Source organism: Homo sapiens, chromosome 9 (assembly GCF_000001405.40).
Source record: "Homo sapiens chromosome 9, GRCh38.p14 Primary Assembly".
NCBI lineage: Eukaryota > Metazoa > Chordata > Mammalia > Primates > Hominidae > Homo > Homo sapiens.
Genome location: NC_000009.12, coordinates 87,256,806 through 87,282,371, shown reverse-complemented (window position 1 = coordinate 87,282,371; position 25,566 = coordinate 87,256,806). Strand labels below are relative to the sequence as shown.

The following is a 25,566-nucleotide window of genomic DNA, read 5'->3' as shown; positions in this document are numbered from 1 at the left end:
TACATTAGCTATCTTAGGAGATTTCTCCTCTTCTCCCTCCCCCCTGGTTTTTTTCAGAAACATTGTTCTGGGAGAAAAATCCCAGTTATCTGAATTCATCAAGTCAAAACCATAAGTCATTGAAGAAAGCATTAGGTGATAATTTTTATCCTTATGAAAAAGCATTTTATTTAATGAATTTCAGATATAGTGTAGTGCTAAATAAGTTTTTTTCTCTCCTTTTAATGAGATATGTGTTTTATGTTCTTCATTTTCAGATGAAGAAATTGAAGCCCAGAAAAATTAAGTAACTTGTCCAAATCCAAACAGATGAGTTAAAATCATGATGACTGTTTAGTGGCTTGAAGACATTTTGTGTAACATTTCAGCTTCAATAAGAAGACGGGAGCTTGGTGCAAGGATGTTTTACTGGGAGCCTACAGTGGAGCTCAGAAAGTCATGTTCCGGCTGGACGCAGTGGCTTATGCCTACAATCCCAGCACTTTGGGAGGCCAAGGCAGGTGGATTGCTTGAGCTCAGGAGTTCAAGACCAGCCTGGGCGACATGGTGAAACTCCATCTCTGCAAAAAGTACAAAAAATTAGCCAGGTGTCATGAGGTGCAACTGTGGTCCCAGCTACTTGATGGGCTGAGGCAGGAGAATCCCTTGAGCCCAGGAGGTTGAGGCTGCAGTGAGCCGTGTTGGAGTGAGACCCTGTCTCAAAAAAAAAAAAAAAAAAAAAAAGAAGTCATGTTTGAATATTCCTTTGGGGCTTTTGTTTCCTCATGTTTGCTCTCAAAACATCAGAATGCCACAGAAGTTTGTTAATTCTCTGGATCAATTGAGGAAGGAAAAGCATCAGCACCTCCTCAAGAATGCCATAGGAGGTGTGTGCTGGGATGCTCTGAGCTCTGCAGCAGTGATGCATGCAGCTGGAGATGTTGAAGGTCAGATGCAGGTGGTCAAGCATTTTAGTTTCCTGTGGCTACTGTAATAACTAAAGTGGCTGAAAACAACAGGAATTCATTATCTTACAGTTCTGGAGACAAGAAGTCCAAAATCACTTTCACTGAACTAGAATTGAGGTGGTGGCAGGACCTTGGTCCTTCTGAAGGCTCTGGGGGTGAATCTGCTCTGTGCCTCTCCCAGGTTCCAGAGGCTGCCAGCATTCCTGGGCCTGTGGCAACATCACTCCACTCTGTGCCTCCATGGCCTCATTATCTCCTCCTTTTCTGTCTGTATCAAATTTCTCCCTGCCTCCCTCTTATAAGGCACATGTGATTGCATTTAGGGCCCATGCAGGTAATCCAAGATGATCTTCCCATGTATAATTATTTGCTTAATCCACATCCGCAAAGAGCCATTTTCCTTAGAAGGTGACATTTACAGCTTCCAGGGATTAGAACCTGACATCTCAGTAAGCCATTATTGAGCCTATCATACTGAGCCTAGATCCCTCCTGTTGGCCTCATATATTCATGGAGGACAAAGGAAAAGGCTAAAGGCCAGAGACCAGCAGAAGAGTGCATTCTTGCTTTCCAGATTCGGGTGAACTGTCATAATCAGTGTCTGGCAGAACAAAAGACTGAGGGAAAAAGTTGAAGCAATGCAAAGCCCCAGAGTGACCACAATGGCATGATTACTGCTGAGTTTGTTTATGAGAGGAAAGAAAGCAGCCATGTTGGAAAGCCTTGGGCGGTTTTCATATCCTGGAAGTTATGTAGAAATAGCTGGAGAGGAATGCATCATTCAGGAGTGTAAAACAATTTCTTGTTTAAACAGACCCCAAGGCTTGAGTGGTTAAAAAAATTCCTCCCAGAGAGTGGAAATGAAAAAAGCCCTTCAAAAGGTTATTAATGTGGCCACTTGCAGACAAGGGAACACATCACGCGGAGTCTCTTGCTGATTTTACCCCATGGAGACTGGTTGTGGATGACGAACGATAAAATGGAAGCATCCAGCAGTGGTAACTTAATGTTGTGGTGGGGAATAGTTTTCTTTCCTGACCTCATTTGTAAGAAGGGAATGGAGGAGGATGAAGATGCCTCATTAGTGGAAACTATACACTCCTGTCTATTCACTTGCTGTAGATGAAAGAACACTCCAAGATACTGCTCCAAAAGGAACATTAGCCAAACTAGATCTTCTCTTGTAAATTTCAGAGGCATCTGTAGACATGGGTGACAGGGAAGCCTCCAAGCGATCAACTTCCCTGCCTTTCCAACACCTGAAAAGTGGCCCTGAGGTTTTCCATTGAGGTTTTCCAAATACAGGTTGCCAGTGCTTCTGAGTGTGCCCTGAGCCCTGGTGGTTGTTTTTAGGATAGAAAATACTTTTCTCTTACATGGCCACCTGCCCTCTCTCCAGGTTCTGGGGCTTCCTGAAGGCCCAACTGCCTTACCTCTTTTCTCCTCCTCAACCATCATACATTATTCTTATGACGAAGTATGTTCCAGAAATGGTGTTCAGACAAAAATTGTGACCAGGTTCGGTTATCCAACACAACACTGAAAGCTGCTGATTCTAGAATAGAGGTGATTAGGATGATCATTTATTTGGCAATGTTATGATCAAAGATGAATGAGTAGACTAGAAACTGTTTAAATGGCTTCTTCAGCACCCTCAAGTCAATGACTTAGAGCTTCTATCCTGTGTGCTGTGGGTCACTAAAATCTCTCCATCACCTGCCAGTTCCATTCTGTTAAATGTATATTAACAACTTTGGTATATCTTGTTAAGGGCTCTGCAGCAGAGCAATCCCTCTTACTAAACTGTTGGAGCACACCATTGCATACACATTTTTTCCCCTTTGCCAAAGGCAACTCTATCTAGGACAACTCCATTCCATCCATTCCAGGGCATGATGCATAGCAAAACGGAGCAGTCCTGTGACTCCATGCCCTGTCAGTGACAGCTCCAGACAAGACCAGACTCATGGACATGGTGGTGTTTGACCCTTTATTTCTCCCAGGGCTGCACTGTGGAAATATTATTCCTATTCTATCACATAAATGCCTTTTTATCACTGCCTTTTCAAATAACCAAGTAATTGAAGTGCAGTTGTCTCCCACATTATGTAGGACATTTTTACTAGCCTTGATTATATTTCCATTAGACTTGGTGTAGCTGACTTAGTAACTAGGCCTAGGACAGCAGTGATGGATTTGTCTGATGGTCAGTCATTGAGTGTGAACTCATTGAAACCTTCCAAATATTTGAAATTTTTCTAGATTCAGTTTGGACTCGATGTTTGCAATGAAGCCATCTTTTAAATTCCCTGCCCTAAAGTGACCTTTTACTCTATGAACAACTCATGCTCAACAGGGCAGAGACATAGTGTGACTTCCTCTCTTCTCTACAGCAGCATATTTACCTGCGAGAATGCCAAAGAACAGGCAAATTTCTGCCCAGTAGAGTGATTTTCAGTTGATCAGATTCAGTGGGGACACATATACCTCCTCATGGGAGAAACAGTGATGTCTCTGGAGGAGTGTTCACAGAGTAAAAAAGTATATTCAACATAATTAATTTTTTCTCAAAATAAATAGCAAGAAGTAGAGGCTTTCCAAATCTCCTAGATGATAAGGGATCATGGATAACAGAAAATAGAGTGGGAAAATGTTATGGGACAGAGCGACCGTATGTTCATGTGTCCCAGTTTATACCAGTTGTTCAGGAATCATTATTTATAGCACCCCTTTTATTCTTCAAGTATTTGTTTAGACATTAAATTATATGATTACCCTAGTTAAACAGAGCTTGGGAAGTACTCATCTGATAGGATCTCCAAAAAAGTTCCCGTGGAGTCCATTTTTGCATTGCTGTAAAGAATACCTGAGAGTGGGTAATTTATAAAGGAAAGAGGTTGATTTGACTCACAGTTCTTCAGATTGTACAAGTCTGGCACCAGCATCTATTCAGCTTCTGGTGAGACCTTAGGAAGATTTTTCTCACAGAAGAAGGAAAAGGGGCAGCAGGCACATCACATGATGAGGGAGAGAGAGAGGGAGAGGAAGCAAGAGAGAGAGAGGAGGGGTGTCAGATTCTTTTAAACAACCAGCTCTCCTGTGAACTAATAGAGTGAGGACTCACTCATTACCACAAGGGCAGTACCAAGCAATTCATGAGGGATCTACTCCAATGACCCAAACACCACCTATCAGGCCAACTTCTGACATTGGAGGTCACATATCAACATGGGGTTTGGAGGGGACACATGTCCAAACCATATTAGCTCCTAAAGTTGTCCTCAAATTCAAGGTGCAATGTTTGAGAAGAGAGTTTGTGTTAGCAGAATGGCTTCCCAGCAAAATAAGTTTTGGTCATGCATGTTTTACAGGAGAGATCAACTGTGTTTGGAAGAGATCAGATAGTGTTTATGAGCACACTGCATGCCATAATTCTGAAGAATCCAGAGGTAAAAGGTATTTTACAAGAAACAAATATAGTTCTTGTAATGGAAGCATTTAGATGTCACTATGAAGAGGAGTGATGGAAATTCATAGCAAATATAAGGTAGGAATAGAAATGCTCAAAAAATCTATTAGGTGCTTTTTTTTTCCTGACACTTTGGATATCTCCTCTTTAATAATGTTCTTAATTACCATTGTCTTTATATTGTACAAGGTAGACAAGTTGATTCTAACTTGGTTCTGGCTTCCTTCTTCTGCAAAGAGAGAGAGAAATAGCTGAAGGTGAAGCCTTGTAGGTTTGTTGCTCCTACGTTCATTTGGGTCACACGGTGGCTTCTCTCTTGATTATGTGGAGGGCTTGGATTCTTCTAGCCCAAATAAAACTTGGCCACATACCTTTGCTCAACATGCACTGACCTGGGGGAACAATATGTTGTAACACAAGTTGCAATTAGTCATTATTTTTTCAGTTCCTGTGTGAGAAACTATGATTTTAACAACCAAAACAACAACAGCAGCACCAAAACAAGATAAATGTGTGTAGCAAATTTCCTTAAATGAGCATTGCCAGTATATTTTTCTCTTGCTAAATAACCTCCTCCTGGATCTCAACATATTATTCCCCGCCCTCCCTCATTTAATTCAGAAATAAGGGACAACCCTTCCGCAGCAGCTGTCCAGAGACCACCACAGCCTGTGAGAGTCTCCAGTGGACAACGGTTGTCTGATTGAGACTCTTCCTGGTGTGCTCAGAAAAACCTGTACTTTTTTTGTTTCAATTAGTTTTATAGACATTTCAAGCTGGGGCCTGCATTTTTTTGTGGTAAGCTCACCCCTCAGCACTCCCCATGGGGCTCACTAACCTTGGCTACCTTCATCGTTTATGGGAGTTGAGCTGTGCATGCTTGAGACTGCCATTTGTTTCTTCTTGCATTGAAATAACTTGCTTTTCTCTTTCAGCAACCCTGGGGTTCAACAATTTGAAACTGCTTCACACCAAGAGCAGAGAAACTCGCTCTGTGGTTATCACCTCAGAGAGACACAATACCCAAAACCTGAGAACATTCGCCTTGTTTTGTTGGAGTCAACACATCTGCCAGGTTATCTGTCTTCAGTCAACATGGCTCATAGAAATCCATGCTGAATTATTTTTTAGGAAGTTCGGTTTTGTTGACGATGGAGTTAAATGTTATTCGTGTTAAAGTGAGTCTTTAAGAAGATGGCCGGCTGTGTTTCTACATAGTTTTGACATCTGTCTTCATTTCTCATTTTTCCTCTAAGATGTTCTGCACATATTTGTCAATTTCTGTGGTCTGACTCAGAGCACAGGAAGTGTGGGTAAGTATCAAAAGAAAAATTCTTTGAGAATTTCTTTTGCTCATTCCCTGTTCTTCTGGTAAATGAATGCCTGAAAAGAGAAGGCAGTCAGTTATCTCGGTTTGGTTCAGGGTAACAGGAAAGTTGCCCTGAATTAAACATTTCTGTCCTATTGGCCAGCTGGGGCACTTAAAAATCCCAATCTTTAGACCACACTCTCTTAATTGTGGCATGTGGGTTTCTAGGAGTTGTAATTAAACAGCCCACAGAAGGTGATTTTACAGTTTCAGCTTTTTTTTTTTTTTTGAGATGGAGTCGCGCTCTGTCGCCCAGGCTGAAATGCAATGGCATGATCTGGCTCACTGCAACCTCCGCCTCCTGGGTTCAAGCAATTCTCCTGCCTCAGCCTCCCAAGTAGCTGGGACTACAGGTGCCTGCCACCATGGCTGGCTCATTTTTGTATTTTTAGTAGAGACAGGGTTTCACTATGTTGGCCAGGCTGGTTTTGAACTTCTGACCTCAGATGATCTGCCCGCCTTTGCTTCCCAAAGTGCTGGGATTACAGGCGTGAGCCACTGCACCCGGCCTACTGTTCCAACTTTTAAGTGTGTCTTCCTCTCCTTCAGATTCAGGCCCTTTGGCCAAGGATAGTGACAACTGATTAAGGCATAACAGGCCTCTGTCAAGCTGCTAATCAAGTTATGGGGCAGTAGGGACCAACATGCATGATGCCAGCAGCAGCCCAGGAATCTACCCACAGGTTAACCTCAGACTCTTAGGAAGACGCTGGGGCGCAGGATAATACAAGGAAGAGGGAAAGGATAGTGAGAAGGACCTATGTCACTCCTTATGTAATTTTCCCTAGTGTTGTCCAAAAAGAGTGTAGACAGGGTTTGTAAAAATATGCACCTGAAAAACCATGAGTGCCTTTATCTGTTGTTTAAAATTTACTTTCAATTTTTTTGGTAACAACTTTATTGACATGTAATTCCTATACTCCACAGTTTACTCACTGAAAGTATGCAATTAGATGGTTTTAGAATATTCATTCACAGAGTTGTTCAACCATCATTTAGGAATTTGCTCGCCTTTCTATCCTGCCATTTCCTCTCTCTGGAATGTTCTTACCCCAGTCATCGACTCTCTCCCATTTCATCATTTAAGTCTTTGCTCAAATGTCACATCCAAGACGCTTAGTGCTCTTCCCTTACCAAAATCACCACTCCACCCATTCTCCTGCCTCCCTCCTGCTCTAGTGTCTGGACAGCACATCCCCCTCTGCCATGTTCTCGTTTGTCTCCTGCCTGTGGTCCTCAGCTCCTCCAGGGCAGGACGTTTGTCAGGACGTTTGCTGCTGCCCCAGTTTCTGGGCTGGTGCCAGACTAGAATTAGGGGCTGGGAGGAGGAATGGAGGGGGCTGGCTGGCTCTCCTCTCTGCACCCAGCCCGTTGGAGGAGGGAAAGAGACTGGAGCCCTAAACAGACAGGGCTGGCTCCCTACAACTTGCTACTGGGTTGGCCAGGAACGGATGCTGCTATAGTCACCAAGCATTGGCTGAGGTGAAGTGCGAGGAAGCTCAGCATGGGCCTATGGGAACTTGAGCCATATAAATTTCTGTGTGAGCCCAAGAAATTATTTGCCATCTCTGAATGTCTTTAAAATGAGGACATTGGATCTCTGGCTCCTTGTAGTTCTGACACTGGAGTTCTGATGGAATTCTTTGATCAGGTGTAATTGAACAAATGCAGTTAAGGTGTCCCGGAGTGCTTTCTTTCATGGATCCCATCTCTCCAGCTACCTTTGCCACATTAAGCTGCTTATATTTCCTCCCTCCTCTCCACGCCCAATACACATGCTTTTGTAAAGACAGAGTTTTCTAATGCCTGGGGTCTTAGATCTATACGGCAGGAGAAGGGCTAAATAGAAAGTGTGATTTGGGTGTGCTATTTGAGCTGGAGCTAAATTTGAGTAAAAGCTTTGTCTGTGAGTTTACAAACATACAATTAAGGCTCTCACAGTTATCTAAATCCATTTTCTTGCCTTATAATTTTATGGTTAGAAGCATTACAGTTGTTTTTAGATTTTCATTATAACTGCAGTAGCCACAGACGGAACCAAATAGTGTTTGTTTATTTGTGTGACAAATTATGCCCCTCAGCTAACTATACTGTGTAATTTGCATTGGGTGTGTGTTTTGTGAAAGAAGTATACATTGGTCTGAGGGTCTTTTCTTCTCTTTCCTCTATCTTCTTCCCAAAGCAGTGCTGATAATAGAAAATTGGAAAATAAAAGGCACATTTGTGTACTACACACACGCTTGACTTCAGATTCCACTCCCCACCATTGTAGCTGGGTAAACTTGGGAAAGTCAGCTTATTTCCTCAATTTTTTTTTCACACAGTGAACTTTGTTCTTTTAAAATACCTTATTTACAGATCATCAGTAGGGGAAGAGTAATTTAAAGTATTAGGAACTTCAGGCCAGGAGCAGTGGCTCATCCCAGCACATTGGGAGGCCGAGGGGGGTGGATCACCTGAGGTCAGGAGTTTGAGACCAGCCTGGCAAAACCCCATCTCTACTAAAAATACAAAAAAATTAGCCGGGCGTGGTGGCGCATGCCTGTGGTCCCAGCTACTAGGGATGCTTAGGCAAGAGAATTGCTTGAACCCGGGCAGTGGGCGTTGCACTCCAGCCTGGGTGACAGAGCGAGACTCCATCTCAATTAAAAAACAAACAAACAAACAAACAAATAAATAAATAAAGTATTAGGAACTTCAGTGTCACTTGAAGGTTGATTAGAAATGAAAATCATTTCTGATGACTTAGGTACTTCCCAGCTATGAAAACTCCTGTAGTTAGTCAACTCTGCCTCTCTGCTTTTTCTTTAATTTGTTATTTTTTTTATTGTGGAAGAATACATATAACATAAAATTGGCCCTCCTAACCATTTTTAAGTGTAGAATCCAGTGGTATTAAACACATTCATCAAGTTGTGCATCCATTACCTCCATCCATCTTCAGGACACTTTTCATCGTGTAAAACAGAAACTCCACACTCATGAAATAGTAACTCCCCATTTGTCCCTGCTTCAAGCCCCTAGCGACCGCCATTCTCCTTTCTGCCTCTCTGATTTTAACTCTTCTAGGTACCAGGTATAAATGGAAGCATACTGGATTTGCTTTCTGTGACTGGTTCTTTTCATTTAGGTTCATCTATGCTATAAGCTGTGTCAGAATTTCCTTCCTTTTAAGACTGGTTAATACAATATTCCATTGTGGTATATCTACACTGCATTTTGCTTATCTATTCATCTGTCAGTGCACGCTTGGATTGCTTCCATGTTTCGGCTATTGCGAAGAATGCTGCCATGAACGTGGGTGTACAGATATCTCTTTGAGGCCCTGCTTTCTATTCTTTTGGGGATATACCCAGAAGTAGCACTTCCATATCATATGGCAACTCAATTTTTAACCGTATGAGAAACCACCGTACTGTTTTCCACAATGGTTGTACCATTTCTTTTTTGTTTGTTTTTAACTTTTATTTTAGGTTTTGGGGTACATTGAAAGGTTTGTTACATAGGTAAACTCATATAATGAGGGTCTGATATACAGATTATTTCATCACCGAAGAATTAAGCCCAGTACCCAATAGTTATCTTTCCTGCTCCTCTCCCTCCTCCCACCCTCCACCTTCAAGGAGGGTCATTGGACATTGCACTCCAGCCCTGGAAACAGAGCGAGACTCTGTCTCAGTTTAAAATAAATAAATAAACAATGTATTAGGAACTTCAGTGTCACTTGAAGGTTGATTAGAAATGAAAATAATCTCCGATGACTTAGGTACTTCCTAGCGATGAAAACTTCCGTAATTAGTCAACTAATTGACTAATTACAGGGTCTGTTGTTTCCTTCTTTGCATTCATAAGTTCTCATCATTTTGCTCCCACTGATTTGCATTTGAGTTCAAACAAGATAATTTCTGAACTCCTATTGCAAATTGCTAAATGCTGTCTAAATATCTACTAGAGATGATTAGAATGATGGTTAATAAGTGCTATATTTCACATCAGGTTAAAATTTCTTCCAAGATATCTTTCTTTTATCTGCATGTATAGAATTTAGATCTTAGCATGAATGGGGATGAATTTATATCCATCTGTCATCTGAGATACTCTATGTGAACAAGGACCACTGTTGATCTGGCTGACCATATAAAATATCAGATAACAAAACCTTGAAAACTCATATTGGGAGTGTATGCTTTTGTCTAGTGCTTCTGGTCCTTTTAAGCAGCCAACAAATTTGCATTGAGACCTTGCTGACTGTGGGTATCGGTGATTTTTGTCCATTGACGATTTTATCTTTAGTTGCTACTTCTTTGGTTTCAAAGAACTACATGTGACAAAAAGTGGCAATGTCTTAGGAAGTGGTTAAGCTGAGTTTATAAAAAAGGAATTGAAAATATGTAAACATTTAAGCAATTTGAATTGATTAGGAACTTGGATGGGGGTAGTGCTTCAGTTTAATATAACTCAAGAGTTCTAGATAAATCATAATTCTTTAGATGAAGGCTAGTTTGTTCTGGATTCCTGCTGAGATAAAATGATCATAAATTTACAAGTAAAGAATAATGTAAATACCTTAATGTCAAAGTATTGCTTTACAGTTCATACAATACTTCTCAGTAAGTTGTATCCTGAGAGATCTTGTTTCTGCTACATACCAGCTGATGACCTTAGCAATGACCATCAGGCTGTGGACCTTAATTTCCCCCACCCCGGTAGGGTAAGAGGCGTGGTCTGGGCTCATCCTTCCAGCAAAGCTCTGTCTAGCTAAAAAAATCTACAACCCTGGTAACTTCCACTTTTATTCTCTCTGCTTTGTAGATTAGAAATCAGAGGAGGTGTGAGTCTCTCATGATTGGATAGACTGATTTAATTACAATTCTTAGAAAAATATTAATGCCTTTCTTCCTCCATTCCCTGTGTTTTGGGCTCCTGCTGTGAGTCGGGCCTTCTCTAGTGCTGAAGACACGGAGTGAAGAAGGTGGCCTCTGCCCTGGCCTTCTCCTGGGCTCTGGGGTGAGCCGCTGTCCTGGATTGCTCTGGACCGAGGGGCTTCCTGCCCAAACTGGGAGAGCCCCGGGCAAACTGGGATAAGTAGGTCACTCTAAGTGGGAGATACTGAGCATAAATGAGTATTTTTTTTTTAAAGTGAACAGTTTCAGACAATGACCAGTGTTCTGTGGGAAACCCTCAGGATAATGCAGTGCTGAGCATTTTGGGGTGGGGGTGGTGTTGGTGAGCTAACAAGGCCTCTGAGGAGACCACGGATACGCTCCAGGGAAGAGGGATAAGGTGGATGGAGACCTGGTGAGAAATAGAATGTTTGAGAAATAGATCAGTGACCAGGATGAACCCTGTGAGCAAAATCGTATGTTCTGGAGGGAGGGAGAGGTAAGGGCGTTGTGGGTCTTAGTAAGGACCCCATACAATAACAATAGCTACTGTTACCTTCTGGCACTTCACTTACTTCATTACAACCAATTCATAATCACCCATTTTACAGATAAGAATACTGAGACATAGAGGCTTTAATGAATCGTATCTAACGTCATGCAGCTTGCAGATGGTGAAACCGAGACTTCAACCCTGATGTTTTGGTGCAGAACCCACAGTTGTCCTTAACTGCACTCACCTGAGGGGAAGCCCCTTGGCCACCGCAAAGCTGTCCCTATCCCTCCAAACTCTTCATCCCCACCGCACTCACAATCACTCAGGAATAAAGACCAGCTTTGTCATTTGCAGTCGCAGTTTTCACCAAGCCAGTAACGGCACTGGGGGAGGCCTCTGCTGCTTTTGTGGCTTGGTTCCAGTGCTGAATGGGGGTAGTTATAGGATGGCTTAGAAATAGTCACTCTGCGTGTAATCAGGTCACTTCACTGCAAAAACATTTTTGTTTCCGCTTCCTTCCTTTTCTGGATCTTATCCAGGGAACAGTGTCTCTGACCTTCTAAGCCACAAAGGCCAGAGATAATGGGGCACAGCAGGTTGATGTCGTGAAAGGAGGGGAGAGTCCGTGGTCAGGATGAGTGTGTGGGCACACACACACACACACACGCGTGGGGAGACAGTCACTACCCAGGGTGTACGTCATAACGTATGCTTAGAAAAATACTGCTAAGAAATACACAGAAACTTTCCTAGTGTCGAATTCTCTTTTGTGTGTCTGAGATCTCCCTTCGGGCTCAGAGTAGAGTGGAGGAGACGGGCATTCACTCTGGGCAAGTACAAAGAAAAGCACGTGAAATTCCTCCCCTTCTTGTCCTCATCCTCATCCTTGCAGCTCACATCCAGCGCCGGCCTGGGCTTCTGTGGTCTGTGTTGACTCTGATTGCCTTGCCAGATGTATCGGCAGTGTTGAGACTGGATTGGTTTACAATTTCTTTCAAATCTGCTTAAGAATGAGAGAGACCTTTTTCTATAGGGGAAACATAATGTGTTCTACTTGATTAGGGCTGGAGGTAAAAAATAAAAGCTATATGGAAAATTCAAAGGATTTAGGTTTTTATTCTAAATTTTAAAACTTACCCATAAGAGATTCGATGGAAAATAATGAGCCCTAAAAAAATATTTTCCAGAATCAATCATGATTTTTTCATGCACATAATGTTGGTTTAAGGCTTGGGAATCAAGAGAAAAATGCAGAAGGAATGTCATATGTTTTGCTTTACAACTTTCTCTCCTATTGTTTGCGTTTCACACTTTCACACTCAAATCTCTCTTCCATTATTCTTTGACTTTTATAAATCTACTGAACATAAATTCTGTTTAATTATAGCATGGTTCACGTGTACTAGAGAGTTATGTTAATAATGAAAATGCTGTTGATTAGTAATCAAAGACAGATTTCGTAAACAGAGAAAAGGAGGCGAGGAAAGGTTTGGGGTTCAGGAAGGAAAGCCTAACTTCCTTCCTCACCATTCTCCCACAGCTGCAAGGTTTTCCAGGTTACTGTGGCCAGGTCGCAGCCCTGTCTATGCAGTGATGTGGGTGTTGTGCTCTCTCTTTTTTCTGGTAACAATTTTCCCTCCCTCCGTGGCCCCTGTGGACACTGATGTTTGTGTCTCAGTTGGCCCTGGGGTGTGGTGGTGCTGCTGTGAGGAGCACTGGTCACAGCTGGCCTGCATCCTCAGCAGGTCCCCAGGGGGACTTTAGGCAAACCACTTAACCTCTCTGAGCCTCAGTGTTCTTACAAAAAGAAGATGCAGTAACAGCCCCAAAGGGTGGTTAGAATTATTTTAAATATCTCATGTAAAATGCCCAGTGTACATCAGGTGTCCTGCCATCAGAGGGACTCAATGATTTTGATTATTATTATAATTTTAAATCTTGACTGTTGATACGAAGTGAGAAACAAATGAAGTCAAGGCCCCAGGGCACTGCGTTTGAGGCTGTCGGGGCTTGATGTGGTTCCAGGTGTGGCAGGAGTGCTGGGGATGAGCGGGTACCAGGCTCCAGCCTGCCCTCCCCTTGCCCCATCTTGGCACTGTGACGGCTGGCAGCTGGGTTCCCAATCAGGCACTGAGAGGCCATGTGTTCCTTTGTCATAGGGCATGTCCACCTCTGGTGTGTGTTTAGCCCCAGGCAAATCTTGAACTAAGTCTCAGTGTCCCGGGAAAAAGAGCACTGGACTCAGAAGTAGAAGAAATGGGGCCGAGTGTGGTGGCTCACGCCTGCAATCCCAGCACTTTGGTAGGCCGAGGCAGGTGGATCACCTGAGGTAGGAGTTCGAGACCAGCCTGACAAACATGGTGAAATCCTGTCTCTACGAAAAATACTAAAATTAGCCCGGCGTGGTGGCACATGCCTGTAGTCCCAGCTACTCGGGCCCCTGAGGCAGGAGAATCGCTTGAACACGGGAGGTGGAGGTTAGAGTGAGCCGAGATAGCACCACTGCACTCCAGCCTGGGTGACAGAGTAAGACTCTGTCTCACAACAAAACAAAACAAAACAAAAGATATAGAAGAAATGGGCCCTAGTCCCATTCACAAGTCACCTTGGGTGAGCCGTTTCAGAGCATGGGTTCCTCTGATAGAAAGTTTACATTTTCATATACGTCTTGTGGTTTCTGAAGGGAAGTTAAATGAGAGAATATGTATGTGAAAATACTTTGCCTACTCAAATAATAATATCAGTGATCATAGAGGTTTTTGTTTTTTTTTCTCCCCAGGGCTCAGTATTCCCCTACTATCTGCTTACTGCCTTTCCAGATCCTCCCTTAAAATGCTTTGCTCAAACCTGTTACATCTTCAAGTTTTTTCAGCTTTCTTGTCGCAGGCTCCATTCCTAATTCATGCACATAATCTGCCATGTGCAGACACAGGCACATACTCATTCAACTTGTCCCATAATCTTTAGGGTCTTGCTCCCTGTTACTTAGCCTGAAGAGTAGCCTGACAATATTTTCAGAGCTACTGATGGGTTGATGTAACCCAAGATTGCCTGTGGTAGAGAATACTGCAGACTAGGGTTTGGCCAATTTTTTTTCAGTCAGGGGCCAGGTGGCTAGGACAGAGTTTTGGAGCAGATGAGGGTTTTGACGCCCCCTCTCTTCCGCCCTTCCATGACTGAGTGTCTCAACCTGGAGGTGCGGGTGGGGCTGTGTAGAGGCTCCCTGAGGAACGCAGGAGGTTGTTGAGCTGTTGATTGGCCTGAGGTGGCTTGAAGGATGGAAATTTACAAGTCGGCCAAGAGCCTTCTCTCTGCCAAGGACTGATTCAGAGTTCAGGGATTAAGCCTCTGGCATGGGGATTAAATTGGGATCTCACATGCACAGATCCCACGGGCACCAGATGCTGGGCTGGGTCTGGCACACGCACTGTTGGCTCTGAGAAGCTCCTCAACCCCTTGTGGGCATCAAAGTAAAGAAAGAAGTGAGTGGTCCCCCTTTTCTGCATTTAGCCTTGATCTGAGATGAGAACATTCATTGGAAACAACCAAGGAGCATGAAGGAATTTCTTCCCGAGGCCAAGAGTGATGAAACGGCTGAGTGTTAAATTTTCAGTAGGGATACAGAGAAACATGGGCACAAAACTCAGTTTCATCCCCACGGCTCTGTTCCACTGGCTCTATCACGCTGCTTCTTGTGGGCCTGGAAAATGTTCCCCACTTTCCGAAGAGCTGTGTCTTTGCTCAACATCCACATCCCAGCAAACGGGATCCATTTCAAAAGAGGCTTTTGATTACTCATTGTCATTTTTGAACCTCTTGTTGCTGTCAGTCATCAGTAAACAGTGCTCTTAGGAAAGCCCTAAGTAGGAGAGGTTGAAGACGATGCTGTGGGCTGGCACAGCTTTTTGTTTTGCACATGCGGAAATTGAGACTGGGAGTGGAATGTGAGCAGTTCAGAGTTAAACAACTAATTCGAAGTGAGTTGAGAACTGGAGTCCAGTCCTCTGGGCTTCTGTTCCAGTGTTCATGAGACAGAACAAAACTGCTGCTCTGTAATGATAAGGGTCATGGGGTTACAGGCACCAGTGGTTGATGTGAAACTGTATCACAGAAAGAAAAAGAATTTATTTTTGCTTTTTGACCTTGAGAGGTAAAGAAGTTTTCCCCACCTCTTGTAGATCTAACCTCATCAAATCATACAAAAATCAATTTTTGTTTACTTGCATGGAGATTATCTTTTCGTACTCATGTATCAGTCAGCATAGGCTGAGTTACATTGTGGTAACAAATGACCCCCAAAGCTTAGTGATTTTCAAACACAAAGTTGGATTTTTCACTCCTGCTATATGTGTGTTGGAAGTTGCTGAGTTTCTGCTGCTTATCTCTTTACTCTAGGACTGAGGTGGACAGAACTCTCTCAATTTCAGGGTTGGGAAATTGTGAGCTGTGGCAGAATCTGGCCTGCTATTGTCTTTGTTAATCAGGTTTTATTGAAAGATAGACATGGTTATTTGTTTATGTACCGTTTTCACACCACCACAACAGGATTAAGTTGTCATAATAGAGGCAGTATGGCCCACAATGAAGATAATCTTTACTTTCTGACCTTTTACAGAGCAAATTGGCTGATCCCTGGTGTATCTGAAACATGGTGATCTGTGGCAGAAGGAAACGAGACAGAGCAAACTGTAGGCTGGTTCTCAAAACTTCTGCCCAGAAGTGACACATGGTCATTTCTACTCCCATTTCTTGCACTAAAGCAAGACATGTGACATGTGGCCCCTCTTGATGCCAACAAAAAAGGGGCAGGAAATCAGCTGATTCCAACATAATTTGTATTTTATTTGTATCTGTGTCTGTATTCTTGGTTGCAAACAACAGAAGTGTACTGTGTTTAATTTAAAGAGAAGGAATATTAATGTAAAGGTTATCAGGGAATCATGCACTTGAGAGGAAGGCTGAAGAAGGGGCCTCTGTGGGGTGCAAGGACACAGAGCCACAGTCCCACTGGAGGGACGGCCTCCGTAAGCTTGCCCTCTGGCATTGCCAGCAGTGGCCCTTCTCCACAGCACTGCTTGTATCTCTGAGGCCACTGTGAGTAACTTTAATTGAACTTTAGCCTGGATGTTACTCCTTCAAGATTCAAAGTGCTGGGTGGGTACTGTTTGTCGACCACCTTTAAAGCATGTGGCCATGTCCTAGCTGCTGGGAGGGTTGGGGAGATGAATAGCAAGACTTTTTCATCTTGGTAGGAGGAAGGGGCCCTGCTTTCCCTAGAGACTTATGAGTGGAGGAATCTCATCAACATAAGAGGCCACGCTAAGAAGCCTGGGAAGCCTAGGAAGCCCTGTCGTTGTTCACGCGAATGGTCAATTGCTTGCAGTTGGAAGCTGAGTGGGAAGTCTGGCAAACGTCGGTATTGCTTGTGCTTCAACTTCTTAAGTGACATTTTCCTACAGGACGCCTTCAGCAGGGAGCCTGGAAGGATCAGAAGAAGATGGGAGAACTTCCTTCCTGCTGGTCACTTAGGAGCCAGAATGACCTTTGTTACCTGGACTTTTCCTTTTCTCCTCCTCATCATTGTTCCATCCCCACTAAGACCTTCATTATTTTGGAAATATTAAGTTAGAAATCTAGTCATGGCCAGCATGAGAGAGGGACAGGGATGCATACAGGAATCAAACTGAATACATTTTGTGTTTTCATTCCCCGTAGGTACTTCTGCTGGTGTCAATCATTGGGACTGGATTATGTCTAAGCATCTTCAACCTCACAGGGGTAATTTGAAAAGTTGAGGAGGGGTTTGCTTTTGAAGAGATAAGCTCATATAATGCAGAATCCAGCCTTTATGGGGATCAGGGGGTCACTCCAACCATGGCCTTCACAAACGGCCTTCAACTGTACCCCTTGGGTTCATATCCAAGTGAAATTATTAGTCTAAATGATTGAAAGATAATAATATCTATTATACAATTAAAAACCTGTATCCCCTCCCAGATCATACACCTACAAATTCATGTTTTAAACTAATCTTCCATGTGGTGAGTGACACAATTATATTGCGTCATGCTTTTTTGCATTAAAAATATTAACTTGTGGCTGGGCATGGTGGCTCATGCTTGTAATCCTAGTACTTTGGGAGGCCCAGGTGGGTGGATCACAAGGCCAGGAGTTTGAGACCAGCCTGGCCAATATGGTGAAACCCCGTCTCTACTAAAAATACAAAAATTAGCCAGGCGTGGTGGCGCCTGTAGTCCCAGCTACTCGGGAGGCTGAGGCAGGAGAATTGCTTGAACCCGAGAGGTGGAGATTGCAGTGAGCTGAGATCATGCCATTGCACTCCAGCCTGGGCAACAGAGTGATACTCTGTCTCAAAAAAAAAAAAAAAAAAAAAAATTAACTTCTGGCCGGATGGGGTGGCTCATGCCTGCAATCCCAGCACTTTGGGAGGCTGAAGCGGGCAGATCACCTGAGGTCAGGAGTTCAAGACCAGCCTGACCAACATGGTGAAACCCTGTCTCTACTAAAAATACAAAAATTAGCCAGGCGTGGTGGCGGGTACCTGTAAACCCAGCTACTAGGGAGGCTGAGGCAGCAGAATCACTTGAACTCAGGAGGCAGAGGTTGCAGTGAGCCAAGAGCATGCCACTGCACTCTAGTCTGGGTGACAGAGTGACACTCCGTCACCAAAAAAAAAAAAAAAAAAAAAAAAAAATTTAACTTGTTTGATGCAAGTATTTTAACCTCAATTTTTAACCCCAATTTAGTAATCCTTTTCTGTGTGTGTGTGAGTGTAGAGCCTCAGAATATGGATGTGGCCTGGAAAATTCTTGGCCTTTAATGCTTTCCTATCTGAGCTGACTAGAGAGAAGAGATCTGGATTCTCTAAAGGACATGAAGCCCAGGAGCAGGCAGAGCTAGTGTGATGTTAGAATTGGGAGTCAGGGGTCTAAGGACTTGAAAGTCTATTTTTCAGGATTGAGTGTGGATGTGGATTACGAATGACTGCCTTGTACCCAGTCAATGGTCGAAGGCTTTCCAAAGTGCCAGACACTGGATGGCTTGTCGCTGCACTCATTTGGACATAACCCATGAAAACCATCTTTTTTTTTTTTTAATTATACTTTAAGTTTTAGGGTACATGTGCACAACATGCAGGTTTGTTACATATGTATACATGTGCCATGTTGGTGTGCTGCACCCATTAACTCGTCATTTAACATTAGGTATATCTCCTAATGCTATCCCTACCCCCACCCCACAACAGGCCCTGGTATGTGATGTTCCCCTTCCTGTGTCCATGTGTTCTCATTGTTTAATTCCCACCTATGAGTGAAAACATGCGGTGTTTGGAAAACCATCTTTAAAGTCTCCACTGGTTATGTCAAACATGTTCAAAAATGACTAAAAGAAGATAGTGTATCTGAAGTTGGTATTTTGTCAGCAGGTCCCCATGCTTTACGGATCGCATGGTTTTTGTAAGATGGTGGCTGGGCACTGGAGGCAGGGCTGGATCCCAGGGGTCAACAACGACGCAGCAGCCTTCCTATGGCTGTATAATGTGCCATGGCCGGGACAGGCGAGGGCAAGCTCAGGCTGACTAAGTGAGATCCCAGGTTCCCAGGTGGGAGCAGGACAGCTGACTGGCAAGACAGCCAAGGGTCCCAAAAGGAACGGAGTAGAAACAGGCAGGGAAAGGGGACCGCAAGGGGGCAGACTTTTCTTCCTCAGCTCCTCTTAGCTTGAAGGGCTGATACCACCATCCGGTTCTGGAGCCCAGCCGCCATTCAGCAGGCCCTGCCCACTTGCCTGTGGAGAGGAGGCTGGGGTTCACAGTTGGCAATCCAGTTTCTTGTTGGAACCAGGACCGTAAAACCATGCCTAGATTCCTTGAATTCTAGACCCAATTCCCCATCCCGTCAGCCCCTGAGTGGCATCCTGGGCCTCAGAATTACTTTTTCAGAACCTTATTGCTGCCAACCAATCTGATTTCTGTTATCTCTGAATCATCTTCTCCCATCTCCTCTGCAAAATCAGCCCTCCTCAAAGGCCAAGATTAAACTTGTCTACTCCAAAGGAAATGAAATCAGGATTTTTTTTCATATGAAATAGAAAATCATTTATTTACAGTATTTGTTTATTTTTTCTAGGACAAAGTGTAATTTAATTTAATTGAATGCCTTTTGTTTATGTTATGTTATTTTATTTATTTTATTTTAAGTTCTGGGGATACATGTGCAGGATGTGCAGGTTTGTTACACAGGTAAACGTGTGCCATGGTGGTTTGCTGCACCTATCAACCCATCACCTACGTTTTAAGCCCAGCGTCCATAAGCTATTTTTCCTAATGCTCTCCCTCCCCTGACCCCCCTCCCCAGCAGGCCCCAATGTGTGTTGTTCCCCTCCCTGTGTCCATGTATTCTCATTGTTCAGCTCTCACTTATAAGCGAAAACATGCAGTGTTTGATTTTCTGTTCCTGTGTTAGTTTGCTGAGGATAATGACTTCCAGCTCCATCCATGTCCCTGCAAAGGACATGATCTCATTCTGTTTTATGGCTGCATAGTATTCCATGGTGTATATGTACTACATTTTCTTTATTCAGTCTATCATTGATGGGCATTTGGGTTGATTTATGTCTTTGCTATTGTGAATAGGATTGCAATGAACATACGTGTGCATAATATCTTTTTAACAGAGTGATTTATATTCCTTTGGGTATATACCCAGTAATGGGATTGCTGGGTCAAATGGTGTTTCTGGTTCTAGGTCTTTGAGGAATTGCCACACTGTCTTCCACAATGGTTGAACTAATTTACATTCCCACCAACAGTGTAAAGGCATTCCTATTTCTCCACAGCCTCGCCAGCATCTCTTGTTTCTTGACTTTTTAATATCGCCATTCTGACTGGTGTGAGATGGTCTCTCATTGTGGTTTTGATGAAATCAGGATTTAAAAGAGATACCTGCACTCCTATGTTCATTGCAGTGTTATTCACTGTAGGAACCAACCTAAGCATACTCCAATGGATGGTTGGATAAAGAAAATATGATAAATATACACAATCAAATATGATTCACCCACAAAAAGAAGGAAATACTGTCATTTGCAACAACATGGATGAACCTGGAGGACATTGTGCTAAGTGAAATAAGCCAGGCACAGAAAGAAAAATACCACATGATCTTACTTATGTGAAATCTAAACAAATTAGATACATAGAAGCAGAAAGAAGAATTGTGGTTACTCAGGGCTGACAGTTGTGTGTGGAGAATGGGGAGATGTTGGTTACAGGGTACAAAATTTCAGTTAACAGGAATAAGCTCTAGAGATCTATTATACAACATGGTGACTATAGTTAATAATAATGCATTGTATACCTGAAAATTGCTAAGAATGTTCTCGCCACTAAAAAAAAATACATAAGTATTTGAGGTGATAGATATACTGATTAGCTTGACTTAGTCATTCCAGGATGTATACATATGTGAAAAAATCATTTTTTTTTTTTTGTTTTTTGAGACAGGGTCTCACTCTGTTGCCTAGGATAGAGTGCAGTGGTGTGATCACAGCACATTGCAGCCTTTATCTCCTGGGCTCAGGAGGTCCTCCCACCTCAGCTTCCCCAGTAGCAGGGACTACAGGTTTGCACCACCATGCCTGGGTAATTTTTTTTTTTTTTTTTGAGGCAGGGTTTCGTTCGCCATGTTGCCCAGCCCATGTTTCTCCAACTCCTGGGCTCAACAGATCCGCCTGCTTGGCCTCCCAAAGTGCTGGGATTACACGTGTGAGCCACCATGACCAGCCACATATTGGTTTTACACCATACATTTATATACATTTTCATTTGTCAGTTAAAAAACCCAGCTGGGATATAAGCTCATGTAACTGGGATCCATATTGAGCCCCTGTTTTATTCTCCTTTCTGTTTCTGTAGAGGAGCTTGACCGGAGAAAGAGGCTGAGAACTGCTTCTCTTACCAAGGACCTTCCCCAAGCCAGGCATCTCCGGAGATGGTATGGAGCCTGGGGTAGCTCGGCCAGGCCTTTGATCACCAGCGATGCCATTGCTCTTCCCCGTTTCGCGTCTGCTGTGGCTTGCTGCTGAGGCTGCTTTCAGACCTCTGGAATCAGAAAAGGAGGTGACTATATCAGGTAGCCCGCATTTGCCTTTTGTAAGAATACTTTTCATGCTCGATTCTTTAAAATGGTTCCCCCAAATATACATCACCTTGATCCCTATTCCATGTACTATACATGACTAAAGTTTTTGCCCTTCATCCCCACTCTAAAGGTGATTTATTTTTGTTGATAACAAATGAGATATTTTGGTTTGTCATTATCTACTTCATAAAAAAACAGAATGTTATTACTAATAAATTTAAATTCACAATTTTATTTCATTTAAAAAATGGCCCGTATTCAGTAAATCATCATATTTCACTGATGGAGGTAGCTGAGGGATTATCACGTCTAATCCTTAATTTTACAAATGGGGAAACTGAGGCACAGTCTTTGTACAAGCTACTTCTCTCTCCCTTAGTGAGCTTGTCAATTCTCTTCTATGAATTGCTTTTAGCTAAAGGATTAGCAAGTAAAACTATTTTTTTTTTTTTTTTTTTTTGCTGTGGCTCCAGATGGGGTCCAAAGAGGAGTTTCACAGTCTCTTCTGTCTCTTCTCTGGGTTTTATGGAGACTTACTTTAATTTACCCTTATGTGTTAGCCTCTTACGAAACTGCGTCTACCTTAAAAGGGCACAGGAAAGGGTGAAAAGTATTTTTAAAAGGCTAAATAACCACATAGAAGTCATGTAAGTTGACGCATGAGCCGGCGAATGGAATGATGATGTGGCCTTGGAGGCCTGATGGGTCCTCCCGTTGGCATGGTCCCTTCTGCTACTGGCGCTCCTGTGCCTGCAATCCAAACATCTGGGGCCTGGCCAAGGGGATACCGGGGGCTCGAGGAACATGAGGAGCTAAGAGGTGACCTGGGGTCCCGGACAGGCAGGCAATGAGGATGTGTGGAGTTGAGTACACGTCAGGGTGGGGGACTGACTGCCCATAATACATTTAAAATGGTGCATTTCAATTGGTGTTTGCCAATTCCTAGTTGTGGCTGTTTGGGGGAGGCTCAAGAAAATGTTTTCACAGCCCTTGGGGATCCTGTAATGAGAATCATGTGTAAACGGAACGTTGACGAAGCCACACCTGGGGCACATTGGACCCACGACAGACACTGATGTGGGAAAAGAGCCGGTACCTTTTGAACCTGACCCATTTTATGAGAAGATGCATATCAAAACAAACAAACAAAGCAACAACAAGAACACTGTGGAGTCTAAGATTGAGGTGTGGTGTCTTGAACAAAAGACAAAAGACTCAGCCACGCTTATGCTAAGAAGGAGAGCCAGGGAAAGAAAATGCTGCAGTCGCAGTCAGAAGGAAAAGACTGTTTCACTTTGGCTTCATGTGCATCCCCCAGAGGGACTATCATGTTACTTTCAAAATGACTGCATAGCAGATGAAAAATGATTCTCATCTGCCTATGGCTGCTGGGAGGTGGAGTGCAGTGCGGGACTCCTATGGGGATATTTGTGGCTCCTCACGTCTCCTGGACCCAGGGTACCAGGACAGTGGACATAAGGGACAATAAAGCTTATTTGAACAAAAATACCATCTTCAGATTCTGCATTCATCACACATTTTGTTCTCTTTGCTACTAGGATGTGGCAATGCAAAAATAATGTCCTGCTGGTCCTTCCAAGGATACCAGAGTTCTAGATTTTATTCTGTCTCAAATGTGGAGCCACTGGAGACTTCCCCATTCAAACACCGTCCTTACCTTGGCAGAAGGAGCCCTTTATGATGACGTGTTTTCTTCTTTTCACACGCTTTCCCACCCTCATACCTGGGCCCAGTTTACCAAATGAATTCAGTTCAATAAATGCCCTTACTTTTCTTATACCACTGCTCCTTTGCTGGTGCCATTTCCTCTTCTGGCAACCCCTTTTGCCCATTTTTCTGCTCAAAAACTACCTTCCACTTGTCTTGAGTCACAGCTTCCATGTAGTAGCCTGGGGCAGGTTTCCTTGCCATTGCTTGGCATCACAGTGTGCTCACCTCTGTCATAGCCTTCATTGTACCTGATGTAGTTACGTTGGGTGTTGTCTGCATGACCCACTGGACTCTAATCTCCTTGGGTGAAGGAAATGTGCTCGTTCATCTTTGAAACTCCAGTGATCAGTAACTTGGACAGCATCTAGTACATGATAGGTGCTCAATAAATATCACTGATAGGTTGAATAAAAAAATTTCAAGCTCATGGGCTGGTAAAACTCTACCTAATTGCCGGCTTTGGATAAAGACACGGAAAAAGTGATGCATACACAATCTAGTAAAGGTCACTGAATCTAAGGAAGAGAATCCTGGGGTCTTCTATGGTCCACACTGTCTCTGGACATCACTGGAAACAAAAGGCTTGCCAAACAAAATAAATATTTTTCCTCTTTCTTCTGCCTCTACAATCCTACCCATTCATAGCCTAGAGCAAGCCCTATACATTTAAGAAGTTTCCAGTGTCTGAGTTATTGCTCCCCACAGAACTAGAAGGGGATCACTTAAAGGCATGGGTTATGGGACTTCATGGTGGACTTGGCTGTATTGTTCAACGCAGTTTTGAGTTCTATCCTTGGAGTGCTTAGAGCCTGATTGTGGTACTACCAGATAAATTACAGTAATAGTTATCAAATTACCAAGAACTCCTGAACTGATGGCTGGTAATACCTTTGCAATCTTGTAGCTTGATTTTTCCACATTAATGCAAAGGAATAAATAATATGAAACTTTGGGCACTGGGACAATTTCTGTTGGTATCATAGGACTCTTTCGGTTGTAAATAAAAACCCAACCTTGATGGCTTAAGCAGAGGGTAAAGGAATTTATGTACTCACAGAGCCGAAAAATCAGAGGAAACTGGCTTCAAGCACAGGCTGATTCAGGGGCTCAACGAAATCAAGGCTATCTTTTCCAGTGGCTCAAATTTCTCTTTCCTATATTTGCTTTGTTCTCAGACACTATCTTGTGGCCTTTCAGTAGCTTCAAGGTCATTCTTCCCCAGTTCATATTAAAACAAGAGCCTGTAATCCCGGCACTTCGGGAGGCTGAGGCGGGCAGATCACTTGAGGCCAGGAGTTGGAGACCAGCCTGGCCAACATAGCGAAACCCTGTCTCTATTAAAAATACAAAAATTAGCTGGGCATGGTGGCACAGACCTGTAATACCAGCTATTCGGGAGGCCCAGGCATGAGAATAGCTTGAACTCAGGAGGTGGAGGTTGCAGTGAGCCAAGATAGCATCACTGCACTCCAGCCTGGGTGATAGAGTGAAGCATTTTTTTTTAAAGTAAAAAGAGAATGTTTCCTCCTAGAATCAGTAGTTCTAGTCCTGGGACTCATTCTGAGCAGGTGCCTTCCCTCACCCCACCATCCCTGTGGCTTTTGTAGGTTGAATGCCTTGATGGTCTAGACGTGTGACACTTGCTGCATTTATGAGACTGGAGGTGGGGCCCCACCCAAGTTCTGCTTCCAGAGGAGGAGGCAAGACCAAGACACCAAAACAAGGTATAATAGATATTGACGGAAAAAAACAATATATGTCCACCCTGTAAGATAGAGGTGTGGGCAGAGCTAGGCTATTCCCAGAGTCCATCAAAGTTCACATGCCACATCCTGATCACGGTCCAGGCCAGCCTTGTACAAAATATTTTCTTACTCAGTACTTAAAGTTTGAGAGATGGCTCTGTTACACGGGATAAAATAAGAATAAGCCCTTGATTAGAGTAAAGGGTGAAGGTACTTTCCATATGCATGTGAGATGCCTTCTTTTTGAACATCCATTATAACTCCTGACCATAGTAATACAAAGAGGATGTGTTCTAATGACTGCTTCTTTGTCAGAACTTCTTGGTCAGAAGCCAAGCAAGGAAATAGGAGAAGGTCTAAGGCCAGTGGCTCTGCAGGCAGGCAGCCCTGGGCTGGAGTGGAGAGGACTCAGGGCTGGAGGGAGGTGAGGGTGTAGGGATGAGCAAGCCTCTCTGTCCCCAATGTCCTGTTGTATCCAGGAGGGGCATCTGTGGGAGGGTCATGATTCATTCATTCATTCATTCATTCATTCATTCATTCATTCTTTCATTCATTCATCTGTCAAACATTTCCTGAGCACCTTCTGTGTACTGGGAATACCTTATAATACCCAACAAACTAAGTTTTCAATCAATGCTTGTTGAATAAATAGAACCTGGGGAAACAGCCTTTCACTTCACAACTAGAGATGAAAGGTTGAACATGAACTATCACTGTTAATGAGTGTTAATGAGCTTCTGCCCTGCTGTAAGTACTGGTAAAT

The 25,566-nt window shown here is 43.3% G+C and overlaps 1 long non-coding RNA gene and 1 pseudogene across 7 annotated transcripts in view, besides 1 other annotated feature; one reads left to right on the top strand and one right to left on the bottom strand.

Moving 5' to 3' along the window:
* The window catches only part of LOC105376126 (uncharacterized), a 103,060-nt gene that overhangs the window by 16,638 nt on the left and 60,856 nt on the right, over positions 1–25,566 (top strand). For 2 of the 7 annotated variants that reach the window (XR_001746814.2, XR_001746811.2), the window contains exons 3-7: positions 258–4,683; positions 5,352–5,729; positions 16,880–16,942; positions 21,102–21,318; positions 24,666–24,782. This is a non-coding gene — a long non-coding RNA (uncharacterized LOC105376126). Of the gene's footprint in view, positions 1–257; positions 5,730–16,879; positions 16,943–21,101; positions 22,835–24,665; positions 24,783–25,566 lie in introns of those variants that run through there. The other 5 variants (XR_007061642.1, XR_007061641.1, XR_001746816.2 and 2 more) reach the window with 5 other exon arrangements.
* Positions 4,776–5,975: an enhancer, noted in NCBI's record as "BRD4-independent group 4 enhancer chr9:89891312-89892511 (GRCh37/hg19 assembly coordinates)". NCBI's record gives its function as "activates an origin of replication core promoter dependent on BRD2, P300/CBP, MED14 and CDK7 cofactors, and independent of BRD4, by STARR-seq in HCT116 cells {active_cell/tissue: HCT116}" and the evidence as "EXISTENCE:reporter gene assay evidence [ECO:0000049][PMID:35650434]".
* Positions 21,787–21,922, bottom strand: LOC124900285 (uncharacterized; annotated as a pseudogene).